The following is a 17,862-nucleotide window of genomic DNA, read 5'->3' as shown; positions in this document are numbered from 1 at the left end:
GTACTGAAGTATTCAATATTGTATACATTTTATTCTTTAAAAAGGGTGAAAAGCAAATAAGAAAAGGATAATCGAGGCTTCGGGGCTTAAGTTTCTAGCATGTCATACAGCAAAGAGAATTTGGTAAGGAGTGTGTAGTGGCCTCTTCTAATTTCTTGACAGCAAATTCCAACCAAAAGCCACACTGGCAGAGAGGAGCTGTGGCAGAATAAGACGATGAAAGAGTAGCTAATAATAGCTAATGTTTGTTAACACTGCACAGAGCTTCTGCAACCGCAAAATCACCTCGAAAGGAGTAATTTCCCCTTTTAAAGAAGGGAAAGTTGAGGCTCAGAGAGGTAAGTGGCCATTCTAAGACCACACAGCTGTTTTGCAGGGACTCAAACCCATGTACTCACACTCCAAATCCCTACCACACTTAATGTTTCCTAGTGAGATTGCTTTGGATTGAAACTAAGAAACAGTTCTTGTGGGCTGTGAATGAACTAATGTGGGAGACAATCAAGCGAAAGGCTCAAGTCTTTAAAACGCACAATGTCGCGCCGGGCGCGGTGGCTCATGTCTGTAATCCCAATACTTTGGGAGGCCAAGGCAGACAGCTCCCTTGAGCCCAGGAGTGTGAGACCAGCCTGGGCAACATGGTGAAACCCTGTCTCTACCAAAACTACAAGAATTGAAAACCAGCAATCCCGAGAGGACCCACAGACCCTCTGAAGGAAGCAGATTGCTCCTGCAGGACCCAGGAGAACCCCCAAAACTGTGAGTGCCCCAGATGCGGAAGTGGGAAAGGGAGACCCTCCTCTCCTGAACAAACACACCCACTGGGGAAGCTGAAGATCTGTTTGCGGGAGAAGTTTCCAACTTTACCTGGAGCTGAGTCAATTTGGAGAGCTGAACGAAATCCAAGGGTAGAGGAAGCAGTAGAAAGGCCCTGGGAGCTCGCTGGGCCCCCTAGCAGGTCATTCCTGCCTGGAACCACAGGGATCCATCGGGAGGGTGACCAGAGGAGCAGGGGTTAAAACTCCACAGGGAGAAGGAATTCTCTAGTAGAACTTTGTGACAATTTGAAGGGGGTGAGAAGCCTCCTGGCCAGAACTTGGGGGAGGGCACAAATCCTGTGCTCAGACTCCACATGTAGGGAAAGAACCAAGACCTTTACTTTTGCAGCTGGGAGGCAGGTAGCCTGGAGCTGGGGCAGGTTTTCAAGCCCCTGTCGCTCTCCATCTAGAAATGGACTGGGGGCTATTGGGGAGAGCACGGTGGGAGTTAAACCGGACCTTCGGTTTGCATGGGAGCTGGATGAGGCCTGTGACTGCCAGCTTTCCCTGACTTCCCTGACAACCAACATGACTCAGCAGAGGAAGCCATAATCCTTCTAGGTACACAGCTCCAGTGACCTGGGAACCCCACCCACATCCCCCACAGCAGCCACATCAAGACCTGCCCAAGGAGAGTCAGAGCTCAGACATGCCTAGCCCCACCCCCACCTGATGGTCCTTCCCTACCCACCCTGGTAGCAGAAGACAAAGGGCATATAATCTTGGGAGTTCTAGGACCCCACACACTAAGGGCTCCTCTCTATACTACTATAGCTGATGCTCTCTGGAAAGTGCCACCTCCTGGCAGGAGGCCAACCAGCCCAATAGAGCATCAAACCACCAAAGCTAAGGACCCCCATGGAGTCCACTGCACCCGCCCCTGCACCCCACCCCCTCCACTGGAACAGGCACTGGTATCCACAGCTGAGAGACCCATAGACAGTTCACATCGCAGGACTCTGTGCAGACGACCCCCAGAACCAGCCCAGAGCCAGGTAGACTCACTGGGTGGCTAGACCAAGAAGAGACAACAATCACTGCAGTTCGGCTCACAGGAAGCCACATCCATAGGAAAAGGGGGAGAGAACTACATCAAGGGAACACCCTGTGGGACAAAAGAATCTGAACAACAGCCTTCGGCCCTAGACCTTCCCTCTGACGGAGCCTACCCAAATAAGAAGGAACCAGAAAACCAACCCGGGTAATATGACAAAACAAGGCTCTTCAACACCACCCAAAAATCACACTAGTTCACCAGCAATGGATCCAAACGAAGAAGAAATCCATGATTTACCTGAAAAAGAATTCAGGATGTTAGTTATTAAGCTAATCAGGGAGGGACCAGAGAAGGGTGAAGCCCAATACAAGGAAATCCAGAAAATGACACAAGAAGTGAAGAGAGAAATATTCAAGGAAGTAGATAGCTTAAAGAAAAAGAAGCAATAAAAAATTCAGGAAACTGTGGACACACTTTTAGAAATGTGAAATGCTCTGGAAAGTCTCAACAATAGAATTGAACAAGTAGAAGAAAGAAATTCAGAGCTCGAAGACAAGGTCTTCTAATTAACCCAATCCAACCAAGACACTGAAAAAAGAATAAGAAAATATGAGTGAAGCCTCCAAGAAGTCTGGGATTATGTTAAATGACCAAACCTAAGAATAATTGGTGTTCCTGAGGAAGAAGAGAATTCCAAAACTTGGAAGACATATTTGGGGGAATAATCAAGGAAAACTTCCCTGGTCTTGCTAGAGACCTAGACATCCAAATATAAGAAGCACAAAGAACACCTGGGAAATTAATCACAAAAACATCTTTGCCTAGGCACATTGTCAAAGTTAAGACGAAGGAAAGAATCTTAAGAGCTGTGAGACAGAAGCACCAGGTAACCTATAAAGGAAAACCTATTAGATTAACAGAAGATTTCTCAGCAGAAACCCTACAAGCTAGAAGGGATTGGGGCCCTATCTTCAGCCTCCTCAAACAAAACAATTATCAGCCAATAATTTTGTATCCTGTGAAACTAAGCATCATACATGAAGGAAAGATACAGTCTTTTTCAGACGAACAAATGCTGAGAGAATTCACCATTACCACATCACCACTACAAGGACTGCTAAAAAGAGCTCTAAATCTTGAAACAAATCCTGGAAACACATCAAAACAGAACTTCTTTAAAGCATAAATCACACAGGACCTATAAAACAAAAATACAAGTTAAAAAGCAAAAACAACAACAACAAAAAAAACCAAAGTACACAGGCAACAAAGAGCACGATGAATGCTCTTCAATCTAAACCTCACATTTCAATACTAACATTGAATGTAAATGGCCTAAATGCTCCACTTAAAAGACACACAACTGCAGAATGGATAAGAACTCACCAACCAAATATCTGCTGCCTTTAGGAGACTCACCTAACATGTAAGGACTCACATAAAGTAACGAGTAGGGTAGGAAAAAACCATTTCATGCAAATGGATGCCAAAAGCGAGCAGGGGTAGCTATTCTTATATCAGACAAAATAAACCTTAAAGCAACATCAGTAAAAGAGACAATGAGGGACATTATATAATGGTAAAAGGCATTGTCCAACAGGAAAATAGCACAATCCTAAACATATATGAACCTAACACTGGAGCTCCCAAATTTATAAAACAATTACTAATAGACCTAAGAAATGAGATAAACAGCAACACAATAATAGTGGGAGACTTCAATACTCCACTGACAGCACTAGACAGGTCATCAAGACAGAGCGTCAACAAATAAACAATGGATAAACTATATCTTGGAACAAGTGGACTGAACAGATATATACAGAACATTTCATGCAGCAACTGCAGAATACACATTCTATTCAACAGCACATGGAATTTTCTCCAAGATAGACCATGAGATAGACCATAAAACAAGCCTCAAAAAATTTAAGAAAGTTGAAATTATATCAAGCACTCTCTCAGACCACAGTGGAATAAAACTGGAAATCAACTCCAAAAGGAACCTTCAAAACCCTGCAAATACATGGAAATTAAATAACCTGCTCTTGCATGAGCATTTGGGTCAAAAACGAAATCAAGATGGAAATTTAAAAATTCTTTGAACTGAACAACAATAATGACACAATCTATCAAAACCTCTGGGATACAGCTAAGGCGGTGCTAAGAGGGAAGTTCATAGCCATAAATGTCTACATCAAAAAGACTGAAAGAGCACAAACAGACAATCTAAAGTCACACCTCAAGGAACTAGAGAAACAAGAACAAACCAAACCCAAACCCAGCAGAAGAAAGGAAATAACCAAGATCAGAGCAGAACTAAATGAAATTGAGACAAAGAAACAAAAAAACCAATACAAAAGATAAATGAACAAAAAGATGGTTCTTTGAAAAGATAAATAAAATTGATAGACCATTAGCAAGATTAACCAAGAAAAGAAGAGAGAAAATCCAACTCACTAGCAAACAAAACAGGAGATATTACAGCTGACACCACTGAAATACAAAAGATCATTCAAGGCTACTATGAGCACCTTTACGCACATAAACTAGAAAACCTAGAAGAGATAGATACATTCCTGGAAAAATACAACCCTCCTAGCTTAAATCAGGAAGAATTAGATACCCCGAACAGACCAATAACAAGCAGCGAGATTGAAATGGTAACTTAAAAATTACCAACAACAAAAAAAAACCTCCAGGACCAGATGGATTCACAGCAGAATTCTACCAGACATTTGAAGAAGAGTTGGTACCAATCCTTTTGACATTATTACACAATATAGAGAAAGAAGCATACCTTGTTAATTCATTCTATGAAGCCAGCATCACCCTAATACCAAAACCAGAAAAGGACATAACCAAAAAAGAAAACTACAGACCAATATCCTTGATGAACATAGATGCTGAACTCCTTAACAAAATACTAGCTAACCAAATCCAACAACATATCAAAAAAGATAATCCACCATGATCAAGTGGGTTTCATACCAGGGATGCGGGATAGTTTAACATACACAAGTCAATAAATGTGATACACCACACAAATAAAATTAAAAATAAAAATCACACGATCATTTCAATAGATGCAGAAAAGACATTTGTCAAAATCCAGCAACGCTTTATCATTAAAACTCTCAGCAAAATTGGCATACAAAGGACACACCTTAATTTAATAAAAGCCATCTATGACAAACCCACAGCCAACATAATACTGAATAGGGAAACTTTGAAAACATTCCCTCTGAGAACTGGAACAAGACAAACATGCCCACTCTCACCATTCCTCTTCAACATAGTAGTGGAAGTCCTAGCCGGAGCAATCAGACAAGAGAAAGAAATAAACAGCATCCAAATCAGTAAAGAGGAAGTCAAACTGTCACTGCTTGCTGACGATATGAGATATGATCATTTACCTTGAAAACCTTAAAGACTCCTCCAGAAAGCTCCTAGAACTGATTAAAGAATTCAGCAAAGTTTCTGGATACAAGATTAATGTATTCACAGATCAGTAGGTCTTCTATATATCAACAGTGACCAAGCAGAGAATTAAATCAAGAACTCAACCCCTTTTACAATAGTGCAAAAAAAAAAAATCCTAGGAATATACCTAACAAAAGAGTCAAAAGACCTCTACAAGGAAGACTACAAAACAATGCTGAAAGAAATCATAGATGACACAAACAAATGGAAACACATCCCATGCTCATGGATGGGCAGAATCAGTATTGTGAAAATGACCATACTGCCAAAAGCAATCTACAAATTCAATGCAGTTCTCATCAAAATACCACCATCATTCTTCACAGAATTAGAAAAAACAATTCTAAAATTCCTATGCAATGAAAAAAGAGCCAGCAGAGCAAAAGCAAGACTAAACAAAAAGAACAAATCTGGAGGCATCACATTACTTGATTTCAAACGATACTATAGTGCCATAGTCACCAAAACAGTGTGGTACTGGTATAAAAATAGGCACATACACCAACGGAACAGAATAAACCCAGAAATAAATCCAAATACTTACAGCCAACTGATCTTCAACAAAGCAAACAAAAACATAAAGTGGGGAAAGGACACCCTTTTCAACAAATGGTGCTGGGATAACTGGCTAGCCACATGTAGGAGAATGAAACTGGATCCTCATCACTCACCTTATACAAAAATCAACTCAAGATGGATTAAGGATTTAAACCTAAGACCTGAAACTATAAAAATTCTAGAAGATAACATTGGAAAAACTCTTCTAAACTTTGGCTTAGGCAAGGATTTCATGACCAAGAACCCAAAAGCAAACGCAATAAAAACAAAGATAAATAGCTGGGACCTAATTAAACTAAAGAGCTTTCGCATGGCAAAAGGAACAGTCAGCAGAGTAAACAGACAACCCACAGAGTAGGAGAAAATCTTCACAATCTATACATCTGACAAAGGACTAATATCCAGAATCTACAATGAACTCAAACAAATTAGTAAGAAAGAAAACAAACAATCCCATCAAAAAGTGGGCTAAGGACATGAATAGACACTCCTCAAAAGAAGATATACAAATGGCCAACAAACATATGAAAAAATGCTCAACATCACTAATGATCAGGGAAATGCAAATCAAAGCCACAATGCAATACCACCTCACTCCTGCAAGAATGGCCATAATCAAAAAATCAAAAAACAGATGTTGGCGTGGATGTGGTGAAGAGGGAACACGTCTACACTGCTGGTGGGAATGTAAACTAGTACAGCCACTATGGAAAACAGTGTGGAGATTCCTTAAAGAACTAAAAGTAGAACTACCATTTGATCCAGCAATCCCACTACTGGGTATCTACTGGTGGTCTTAGAATGGCCACTTACCTCTCTGAGCCTCAACTTTCCCTTCTATCTACCCAGAGGAAAATAAGTCATTATTCGAAAAAGATACTTGCATATACAGGTTTATAGCAGCACAACTGCAAAATCATGGAACCAACCCAAATGCCCATCAATCAACAAGTGGATAAAGAAACTGTGGTATATATACATACATATACATATATATATATATACACACACACACACACACACACACACATATTCATTCATTCCTTTTTATGACCGTGTATATATATATATATGATGGAATACTACACAGTCATAAAAAGGAATGAATTAACAGCATTTGCAGTGACCTGGATGAGACTGGAGACTATTATTCTAAGTGAAGTAACTCAGGAATGGAAAACCAGACATCGTATGTTCTCACTGATAAGTGGGAGCTAAGTTATGAGGACACAAAGGCATGAGAATGATGCAATGGACTTTGGGGAATCGGGGGGAAGGGAGGGAGGGGATGAGAGATAGAAGACTATAAGTATGGTGCAGTGTATACTGCTCGGGTGATGAGTGCATTGAAATCTCACAAACCACCACTAAAGACCTTACTCGTGTAACCAAATACCACCTGTACCCCAATAACTTATGGAAAAAAAAACACAGACTTCAAAAAAAATACAAAAATTAGCTGGGCATGATGGTGCATGCCTGTAATCTCAGCTACTGGGAAGGCTGAGGGGAGAATCGCTTGAACCCAGGAGGCAGCGGTTGCAGTGAGCCGAGCTAGCGCCACTGCACTCTAGCCTGGGAGACAGAGCACAACTCTGTCTCGAAAAAAAAAGGAAAAGAAAAAAAAAAAAGAAAGAAATCACACATCACCATGACCGTTATCATTGGTAAGGTCAATCCTCTGGGCCATATCTAATTCTTAATTTTTTTTTGCATTCCTTTTCTGATTATGAAAAGTAAATCTGGCTTATTGTAGAAATTGGTAAGTAAAATAAACTTTTAAAAAAGGCAAATCACTGGAGATAACCCGTAGTAACAGTTTGATATATGGTTTTTCTAATCGCATGTTTAAAAACTAAAGTGAGATCCTGTGGTGCATATTAATTTGTAACATGCTTTTGCCACTTGTTGGGCACATTTTGTAGGTCATTGAGTCTGAGCAGTAATTGCTTTGATTTGAGCCTTAAGATAGAGGGAATAATTTTCAGTTCATCTGCTTGCCCTAGGCATATTTACTTCTGGGTTTTAAGTAACAGAAAATGATTGCCTAGCTTAAGCAAAAAAGGGAATTCCTTGAAAGGATATTGGGGCAGCTCATGGAACCTGAGGAGCAGTAAACAATCAAACTAATAAAGGACAGGGGCCAGGTCTTCTGAGGCCTTGGCAGCAGGAGTGCAGGGACACCCCCATCTCTGGTTCTCTTAGTTCCAAATACTAATTTCCAGTAAATATGGCGATTGAGGCTTTACCCTGGACCAGACATCTTTAACCAGGACAGCACTGTATTGTGGCAATATGGTAGTTCCATGGTAATCCTGTATTGAGAAGGGGAGTGGGTAGGGAAAAGGGGATGAGATGGGGGAGTAGGAGAAGGGAAGAGTAGGGGGAAATGGGGGAAGGACAAGGACAAGAAAAATCAGGTGGAAAAAGAAGCTTGTAAAATGAAGGTAGTAGATACAGTAAAAAATAGATTTCCACCTCAAAAGGAAAAGAAGACATTAGATCAATTTCTTTGGACTATTTAAATTATCCCTAAATATGCTCTACTAAAATCTAATATTTGCAAAATTGTTAATCAAATGTTTGATGTTATTATAGCAGTGAGTTAATTGTAGAACATAGTTCAATTGAGCTGTATTTTTATGTGGTTGTTGAACATTTCTAAACTTTGAGACTCCATGTATAGGTACTGTATATATTTGGGCCCCTTTTATAGGACTTAGGGCATTGTTTTAGAGTTTTAGATATTTATAGAGGTATATAAAATAGTCATAGTTTTCGTTCCATGACAAGCTGTTGGCAGTTTCTATATTTCATTTGCTGAGGAGTCCTTGGTCAGGAATGAAACTCCCAATTATAGCATCTTTTCCATGGAAAATATGATCTACATTATGAAGTGGTTTCTAAAAATATGTTGTGGCTAAAAGCAGGGCCTGCTAATTTATCCATATAAATCTATAGAAACATACAGATGTGCAGATATTATTACACAAACACAGCTCCTCAATCAGGCAATACATACACATTCACTAGCCTAAGCAAGAATAGTTATATATCTGTCCATGTTGAAATATAGATGGTAATAGATGGCTTCAAGTGTTTGAAGAGAAACAAATTAATTCAGAGATTAAAACACATGAATGTGAAAGCCTATGCATGTGTATTTTTAGCTCTGATTGCTGAATGAAATAGCTTTCTCCAGTGATTTCTTCCCAGGCCTTCTTCATCATGCAGAGTCAGATGAAAATACATTCTAGTATCTCTCTTTGGTGGCCCCTTTTTGCTTTCCTTAAGCCTGGATTTCTAATTTTGATTTTGATAGATACAGTGGCCAGCCTCTAGTCTTAATCATTTTACAATGCAAGTAAGAATAGGCCTTTTGAACCATTGTTCTGGGAAGCACAGAAGCTGCAGTTGAATGGCAGCCTCCTGAGAAAGCTCAGAGTGTGCCCTGGGGGATGTCTGGCCTGGAAGGGATTGGTTTCCCTAAGGTCTTTTTTCAGTGGAGCAACCACAAGGGCTCCATCATCCATCATTTTTGGGCTTGAAGGTTTTCCTCAGAAGCCCAGTCCCTGGAGCTGGAAGGATTCAGAGCCACAGTTTCTAGAACATAGTTGGGTTGATAATAATTTATCGAATAACGGAGAGGTTTCTAGGCTTCTCAGGCCTGGATCACAGATCTTGAGATGATCCTGGAGGTCTTGAACTTTCCATGGTCACTGCTGGTTAGAGAAAAGCAGAAAAGACCTAGAGAATCTAAAACATAGGATTTGACGTGCTAAACCTGGCCAAATTCCAAAACAAGAAGCTCTTGGACAATTAGGTCAGGTCCCTGGCTCAACAGGAGAGTGTTTGGCTTATGGGTGCCATCCGTGTGTGTGTGTGTGTGTGTGTGTGTGTGTGTTGTGTCTGTGTGTGTGTGTGTGTGCGTGTGTGTCGTGTTTAGAGACAGGATCTCATACTGTAACCCAGATGCTGTAACCCAGGCTGGAGTGCAGTGGCATGATCAAAGCTCCTTGCAGTCTCAAACTCCTGGGCTCAAGTGATCCTCCTGCCTCAGCCTCCCAAGGAGCTAGGACCACAGTCATACAGCACCACATTTGGCTAATTACATTTTTTTGTGTGTGTGTGTGGAGATGAGGTCTTGCTATATTGCCCAGGCTGGTCTCAAACTCTAGGCCTCAAGCAGTCCTCCCACCTTAGCCTCCCAAAGTGCTGGGATTACAGGTGTGAGCCACTGTGCCCAGCCAGGTATATTTTTGAACAAAGGAATAAAAATAAATTTCATGAAGATACTCATTTGGTTCAGACAGCCTTGGGGTCCACAAGTTGATTCAGATGAAGGGAAGGATTTCTCAATCATGTGGAACTGGATGAGCTTTAACCTCTTTCTAGTTGAAGAGATCAAACATGGTTTCATCTATTAGCAGGCTGTTGAAATAGCAGTTTATTATTAATTTATAGCGACTTATCAACTTTGTCATCACAAAATTTAACATTTATAAAATAGATATTACTATTAACCCTGTTTTGTCCATAAGAATATTGAGACTTAGAGAAATTAAAAAATTTACCAAGGTCATCTAGCAAGTCAATAGGTGGTAGAACTGGAAATCAGATCTGCCCTGCCTCTTGTGCATTATGGGTCAACCAAAGTGGAATAATTTTAAGGAACAAATCTTGGGGAAGTGCTGAAAGCCAGAAGGGTCAGAATAAGGAAATGTTTAATCCTGGGTTTAAGATGCCAGATTCCTTTTTTGTGAATTCTCTCTGGAAGGTCTTCATAAAGATACTCATAAATCTGTAGGAAAAGATACTTTAATGTCCTTTTGTGATTTCTAAGGAGAAAAAAAATGTGTGAGATAGTAGTTCTCAAACTTTAGTATGCAAAGGCTTCTTAAAACAGAGAATGTTAGCTGGGGGTGGTGGCATGCACCTGTAGTCCCCACTACTTGGGAGGCTTAGATGGGAGGATCACTTGAGCTCAGGAGTTTGAGGCTGTAGCGTGTGATAATCACATACTTGTGAATAGCCACTCCACTCCAGCCTGGGCAACATAGTGAGCCCTTGTCTCTGAAACAAACAAACAAACAAACACGTAATATTGGACCCCAGCCCCAGAGTTTTTTGATTCAATAATTTGCATATCTAATGAGTTCCAGGCGATGCTAATGCTGCTGGTCCGAGGACTGCACTTTGAGGCCTGCATGTGCAAGGGAAGCCTATCCAGTGATTTTAAAATGAGGTCTCCACGTAATTTGGACCACAGATTACATGGAGGCTCCTTATTTTTGAGCAGGTGGTTCCCCAGAAAGTCCCCCAAAGCATCTGCAAGTTTTAATTGTTTTGTTTTTGCTTTTAAGAAAGGAAAATGGGAATATCAGGGAATGTGAGAACAGTGAGTTTTAACTATGCTACATCCTAAATAGCTAGAAAAAAAATGATATAATTCCTTTTGGGAAGAGTGAGCTAGACGGGAGGCACCCAAAACTCATCAAAAACTAATCTCATCCAGAGATAGTCTTTTCATTGGTAAAAGGAGAGCTTTGTGGCCAAAGTAAATGCAGGACAGTTGGTGCATCTCTCTACCTGCCAGGCAGATTTATTCCATTTCCTGCTGGTGTTCTCAGTAGGGAAGCTGAGAAATGCCTTGTAGAGTAAGTGCACAGCTCTGGTCCCTTTAATTATATGTGATTGAGTTGCAGTTTTTGAGAGCTGCACTTACTTTAGGAAATGTGTACTGTAGTGTATGTTTGAACAATTAAAAAATGGGTGTTTTTGATCCAGATCATCTGTGTCTCTTATGAGAAATTCTCTGAAAATGATTTTTTTCACTGTTGTCTGTGACAAAATAGGTTCTTGAAAGACATCATCTAGTTAAGTGTATGCAAGTTTAAGGGGGCATAACTCTGGCAGCAGCTTGTTAGCACGTCTCAGGCTGGATATTGAAACATGTTCTGAGATGGAGAGTTGAATGCAAAAGGTTTACTAGGAGGGCTCTTGAAATCAACTGTCAAGGGAGTAAGGGAAGCAGGGCCTGGCAGAGGGAGAGGCTGAAAAGCAATGAAGTCACAGCAGACTCCATGGGCAGTTCTGGAGCTAGGATGGCACTTCAGAGTCACCCCATATTGAGGTACGGGGACCAGGCCTTGGAACCCCATATTGACCAGTCAGGTCGTTGGATGCCTGCTGCTGCTGGGGAGGGGTCATAACATGGGCAGGGCAACTTCCCCTAGAGAGCACAATTTCTGTGTAAGGAACTCAGCTGTGATCCATGAGAAGTGAGCATCCCAGCAACTGGAGGAATGAGTACCTCTGTCCTGAAGGGGGATTGGATTTATATAGGGAGACAAGGGTTACACTTTGTTTTGATGACATAGCACTACCTAACATTTGTATGTTGAATACATTGTATTTCCAAGGCAGCCTACTAGGTACCATGCAATATCTGAAGAAAGCCAGACATGTATTCTGCCTTTATAGAAACTTATACCATCCGTTACTATACACATGATAGACATAATTTGACCTACTATATAACATATTAACTATAGCATTCCAGTTATAACACAGAGAATACTTTGCTGGGTAATAGGTGTTGTACAAATTAGGTTAGACCCAGTTCTTTTTTTTTTTTTTTTTGAGACACAGTCTCACTTCCTGGCCCAGGCTGGAGTGCAGTGGCACAATCTCAGTTAATTGCAGCCTTAACCTCCCGGGCTCAAGCAATCCTCCCACCTCAGCCTCCCCAAGTAGCTGGGACTACAGGTGCAAGCAAACACACCTGGCTAACTTTTGTATTTTTTGTAGAGACAGGGTTTTGCCATGTTGCACAGTCTGCTCTCAAACTCCTGAGCTCAGGCAATCTGCCTGTCTCGGCCTCCCAAAGTGCTGGGATTACAGGCATGAGCCACTGCACCCGGCCTAGACCCAGTTCTTAAAGTAGATAGCCATTATAAGGATAAAGCAATAATAATGGCTAGCATTTACTGAGGTACTGTTCAAAGCACTATTATTATTCTTACTTTTTATATTTAAGGAATTGAGACATAGAGAGCTTTAAAAACTTGTTCAGGGTGACAGAGATTGTAAGAGACAGCTAGATTTTGAACTCTGGCTAACTGCAGAGTCTACCTGACTAGCTTTTCCTCACTTTCTATTATCATTAGAAAGTAGAGTTATAGATAAAGCCATCAAATTTTAACAGTTACTATAATTTTGCACTTTTGTTTATTTCTGTATTGCTTGCCCAAACACTTTGCACTGTTTCATGTACATAGTATCACTTAATGAAGGTTAGATGATAATTAAAAGGAAAAAATAATTTGTTTCCATCTGCCTCTACTGAGTGCTGTTAGAATAAAAGAATGGAAAAACAATAATTTACAGCGTAAAGGGAGTCCCATAATTCTTATACTGACATAGGGAAAGACCCCTTTCTTATAATACCCAACTTCCTGTACCAAGAAACCGAACAAGACAAAGTTCAAAATATGTATAAACAATCCTTGCAAAAGATTACACTCTAATAAGCTTTGCACCATGCACAAGCTAATAACTGACCACGACCCCAAAGCCTCTTACATTTGTTTCCGGTTTGCTTTAGAGCAAGAGTCAGAGAACAACAGCCTGCAGGCCAAATCCCACCTGCTACCTGATTTCGATTTTGCCACCTTGTCAGCCAAGAATGGTTTTGACAATTTTTAAATGGTTGGAAAAAACACCCCAAAAGAATATTTTGTGACACATGAAAATCATATGGAATTCAAATTTCAGTGTCCATAAGTGTTACTGGCACACAAGCACATCCATTTGTTTATGGATTGCCTATGGCTGTTTTTCTAGCTACAACAGCAGAATTGAGTAGCTGTAACAGAAACTATATAACCTGCAAAGGCTAAAATATTTCCTACCTGGCCCTTTTCAGAAAAAGTTTGCCAACTGCTGCTAGAGTGATTCTCAACCTTAGCCTTGTTGGAAGCATTTGGAAGAGATCTTAAAACTTCTGACCCCCAAGCCCTGTCCGGCACCAATTAATTCAGAATCTCTGGAGCTGAGACCCAGTCTTCAGAACTTCGTAAAATTCTTGGTGGTGTAGTCCAATGTGCAGCCAAGGCTGAGAACCACTGCCTAGAGTGTTGAATGCATTTTAGGGGCAAATAGATTAGATCTTGCTGCCTCCAGGATGACCTTGCTGCCTCCAGATAAGAGAGAGAATGCAGGCCACTCTCTCACTGCTTGTGTGTGCAAAGGGTGATGTAAGCAAAGATGTTCAGGACCTCCATGTGCCCTCTGGTAAAAGCCCTTCTTCTTCTTCTTTTTTTCTTTTTTTTTTTTTGAGTTGGAATCTCACTCTGTAGCCCAGGCAGGAGTGCAGTAGCACGATCTCAGCTTACTGCAACCTCCACCTCCCAGGTTCAAGAGATTCTCCTGCCTCAGCCTCCCAAGTAGCTAGGACTACAGGTGCCCACCACCACTTCCGGCTACTTTTGTATTTTTAGTAGAGATGGGGTTTCACTATGTTGGCCAGGCTGGTCTTGAACTCCTGACCTCAGGTCATCCTCCCACCTAGCCCTTCCAAAGTGCTGGGATTACAGGTGTGAGCCACTGCGCCCAGCCATAAAGCCCTTCTTCTTTAGGAGATGAGAATGGGGGAGGCAGAGAGGAGAAGAGAGGATTATACCAAATATCTATCCCAGAATATAGAGTGACTACATTGAAAACAAAATTCCCCAGAACGGAATATCATCAAACGTATAGACAGTGTAACCTTCCCTAGCCTAGCCTCTAGGAAGAGGTGACCTCATTCCTTAACACGCACTAACACAACCATCTGGTCTAAGCTATAGAGCACAGAACCTGTTACTCAATGCAACGAGTCCAAGTAGGTTTAATCAGCTGTGTGGTTCATGAACTCTGTGTCAGAATCACTTGGAAGGTTTGTTAAGCTGTAGATTCCTAGGCCTCACCTCAGAATCAAAACCTCTAGGAACAGTCCTAGAAATCTGTATTTTAACCAGCACCCAGTTGATTCTTAAGAACTTTACAGTTTGATCACCACTTACCTAAATGGTGTACTCTCTGTGGATGTGCAAGCTGAAGTTGTCCTACTATTATTTGTCAAGGTGGATTAACTTGGTAGGCCAGTTGTTCGTTCCTTCCAGAGGTGCACACACATTTAAAAAAATGGAATTCCCAAAAAAATTTACAACATATTTGCCAAATAGCCTTTAAAAGAACCAGAGTTATTTAAAAAAAAAAACAGTGGTAGAAGTAATATATTCATTACACCAATTGCTGTCTTGCTCAGTAATATAGACACCTGTATGACAAACTGTTTTACTGTTTGTTTATTTATTTATTCATTTATTTATTTATTGAGACGGAGGGTTGCTCTGTCACCCAGGTTGTAGTGCAATGGCACAATCTTGGCTCACTGCAACCTCCACCTCCCGGTTCAAGCAATTCTCCTGCCTCAGCCTCCCTAATAGCTGGGATTACAGATGTGCACCACCATGCCCAGCTAATTTTTGTATTTTTACTAGAGATGGGGTTTCACGATGTTGGCCAGGCTGGTCTCAAACTCTTGACCTCAAGTGATCCGCCTACCTTGGCCTCCCAAAGTACAAAGATTACAGGTGTGAGCCACCACACCTGGCCAAACTGTTTTAAATATCTTTAAAATTCCAAGTATTCTCTGAAGAATTTTTGGAAGTAGATATACATTGCTTAGAGTGAGCTTGAGTGAATAAAGTGGGTGACTAAGTAAGACCTGTTTTCGGTTTTTTTTTTTTTTTTTTCTAAATGAGCTTTGGCTTTTAAGTGACCACATTATGCATCAGTGCACTCTTTAACTCCAAAAGACACACCTTCATAATATTTTGAATATTTTGTCAAAAACAAAGTTGTTTTAAAGAAGCCCAGTTTACCCTAAAGGAGAACAATCTTTTGAATTTATAAATTCCCATGTATTTTATATGAAACCAACTCTATTTCTTATTGTCATTTCTTTAACCACTTATAAAGCCTATAAGCCATCAGTTTGTGGGTGTAGGTGTTTGAATTTTGAGATACATGATTGTATTACAGGAAATCTCTGTGGGGACAGGAAAAAACCAGCACTTAATGTCCGTTAACTAGTGAGAGTTATAGGGGAGATGTGATACTCCAGACAAGAGGGTCCTTCACTTCATTCCAGTGTGATTAATGGGTTCACATTTGCATCAGAGCCAAAGGGCAGAATCACGAAGTAGACAGACAAACCCATTTCCTATGGTTGCTGAGCTGGGTTGGCTAGCAAATGTACTTTAGAAACAGACTTTAAGTACAATTCAGGTGAACAGAGTGGGACACTAAGTCAGTGTGGGGATAAATGCTGTGGGCAGTACTCAAAGGTTTTATTTGACCATCCTGGGACCCGAGGTGCCTGTTTCTAAAGTGAAAGGATGTATTTTATGAGGCTGAGTTCACCCTCCTAGAGTACACGGGTGATGCCCCTTGATAATAGCACAAAGCAAGTCTGAGGCTTTCCATTTTCAACTGGTCTGTGGGCACTGACTGCGTTCATTGTGTGCTTATCGCCACAGAGGCAGGTTCCTGTTCTAAAGTGTCCTGTCTGAGGGCTTTCACAAATTCTTGGATGTCTTTAATTTCACTAAGCTGGACAAAATTGAACACATAGATCACTGAGCCTTGCTGTCCTGGAGGCAAAGATTTAAAAAAAGATGGTACTGGTTTCCCTAGAACAATGAGAACAGCATGATACCACATGGATGTGCAGTCTGAATTACTCAGTCTCTTCATTCATAATAAGAAGGCAATCCAAGACATTTAGGGTGCAACATGTCCCTTAGACTTTGTTAACTGATTTCTTTAAGGACTTACGTTGGAGATGCAAAGTGAAAGAAAGACCTTTGGGAAACGCAGGTGAATTTGTTTTGGCTGAGTATCGTTGACTTTTTATTTTGGAAAGGCTCTTGCTGTGATTAAAATTTTATTCTCATTCCTATTTGCAGGGACAAAACTGGAACTACTCCTTCACTGCATATGTGACTATAGATGTGTGTGTGTGTGTGTGTGTGTGTGTGTCAGAAGGTGGGGGATGTGGGGATCATTGCCTTTAATCATTCCAGCTGGGCCCCTTTGCCTGGTTTCATGTTGCACATTTTCTGGCTTTCCTATTTACTGAAGAACTGCATCTTGACATTCACCAGAAAAAATCTGCCGCGCAGCCTCTCCTCCCATTAAATGCTCCCCTTTGTCTTGGATTGTGATATTGCCTTCCAAACTTAAAAAAAAAAAAAGTGTGTGCGTGTGTGTGTGTGTGTGTGTGTGTGGCGACATTGCTTCCAGAGGAGCTTAACTGTTTAAGGGTTAAAAACACAGAAGAATTATAACTTAAGTGTTGTAGTGGCCAGGAGTTGATGAAGAAAGGTGGCTTTGTTTGGATGATTAGTTTGGACTCTGTTAAGACAGACAAAATATCTTTTTTTGGTCTTATGGCGTAGGCAGGGTTTTATATGCTTAAAAGCAAATCTTCCACGGCATTCTCATTCTCTTACATCAGCCCACTTCTCCCCTTCTCTCTCATGTGGCGAAACAATAAACAAAGTGGCCACTGTTGGTGCTCTGGGGCGTTTCTCTTTCTTTCTAATACAGGCTCCCAGGATGGAAATCTTTAGCCACTGAAACCCCAAAATTTCTGCTCCTCTAAGAGCAGACACTTGCTGAATGTTTGCTAGCTGGAGAAAGTCTCACCGCCACTCAGCTCCAAAAAGGTTCTGCAGGAGCGCAGCTGCTTGGGCTGCAAGAATGGCGGGGACCCCCTGAGCCCCAGGAGAAATCGCTCTCAACTCTGTTTTCTTTTTCTTTCTCCTCGGCATTTGTAAAGTTGGCCCAAGGGTGTGGCTGAGACTCCAGAAAAGCACTGAAAGTACTATTTGTTCTTGAAAATGTTACAGTTAATGTCTTGGTCCCAGTAGCAGGGGAAGAAAAGATCTTTGTGAA

General features: G+C 41.0%; 1 protein-coding gene across 2 annotated transcripts in view, besides 1 other annotated feature; it reads left to right on the top strand.

The window, feature by feature from the left end:
- SHC4 (SHC adaptor protein 4) overlaps positions 1-17,862 on the top strand; it is a 140,179-nt gene that overhangs the window by 49,219 nt on the left and 73,098 nt on the right. The gene's annotated exons all lie outside the window — the stretch shown is intronic.
- Positions 723-1,922: an enhancer, noted in NCBI's record as "MED14-independent group 3 enhancer chr15:49204976-49206175 (GRCh37/hg19 assembly coordinates)". NCBI's record gives its function as "activates an origin of replication core promoter dependent on BRD2, BRD4, P300/CBP and CDK7 cofactors, and independent of MED14, by STARR-seq in HCT116 cells {active_cell/tissue: HCT116}" and the evidence as "EXISTENCE:reporter gene assay evidence [ECO:0000049][PMID:35650434]".

The sequence above is a fragment of the Homo sapiens genome, chromosome 15 (assembly GCF_000001405.40).
Source record: "Homo sapiens chromosome 15, GRCh38.p14 Primary Assembly".
NCBI lineage: Eukaryota > Metazoa > Chordata > Mammalia > Primates > Hominidae > Homo > Homo sapiens.
This window is presented reverse-complemented; position numbering and strand designations above follow the sequence as displayed.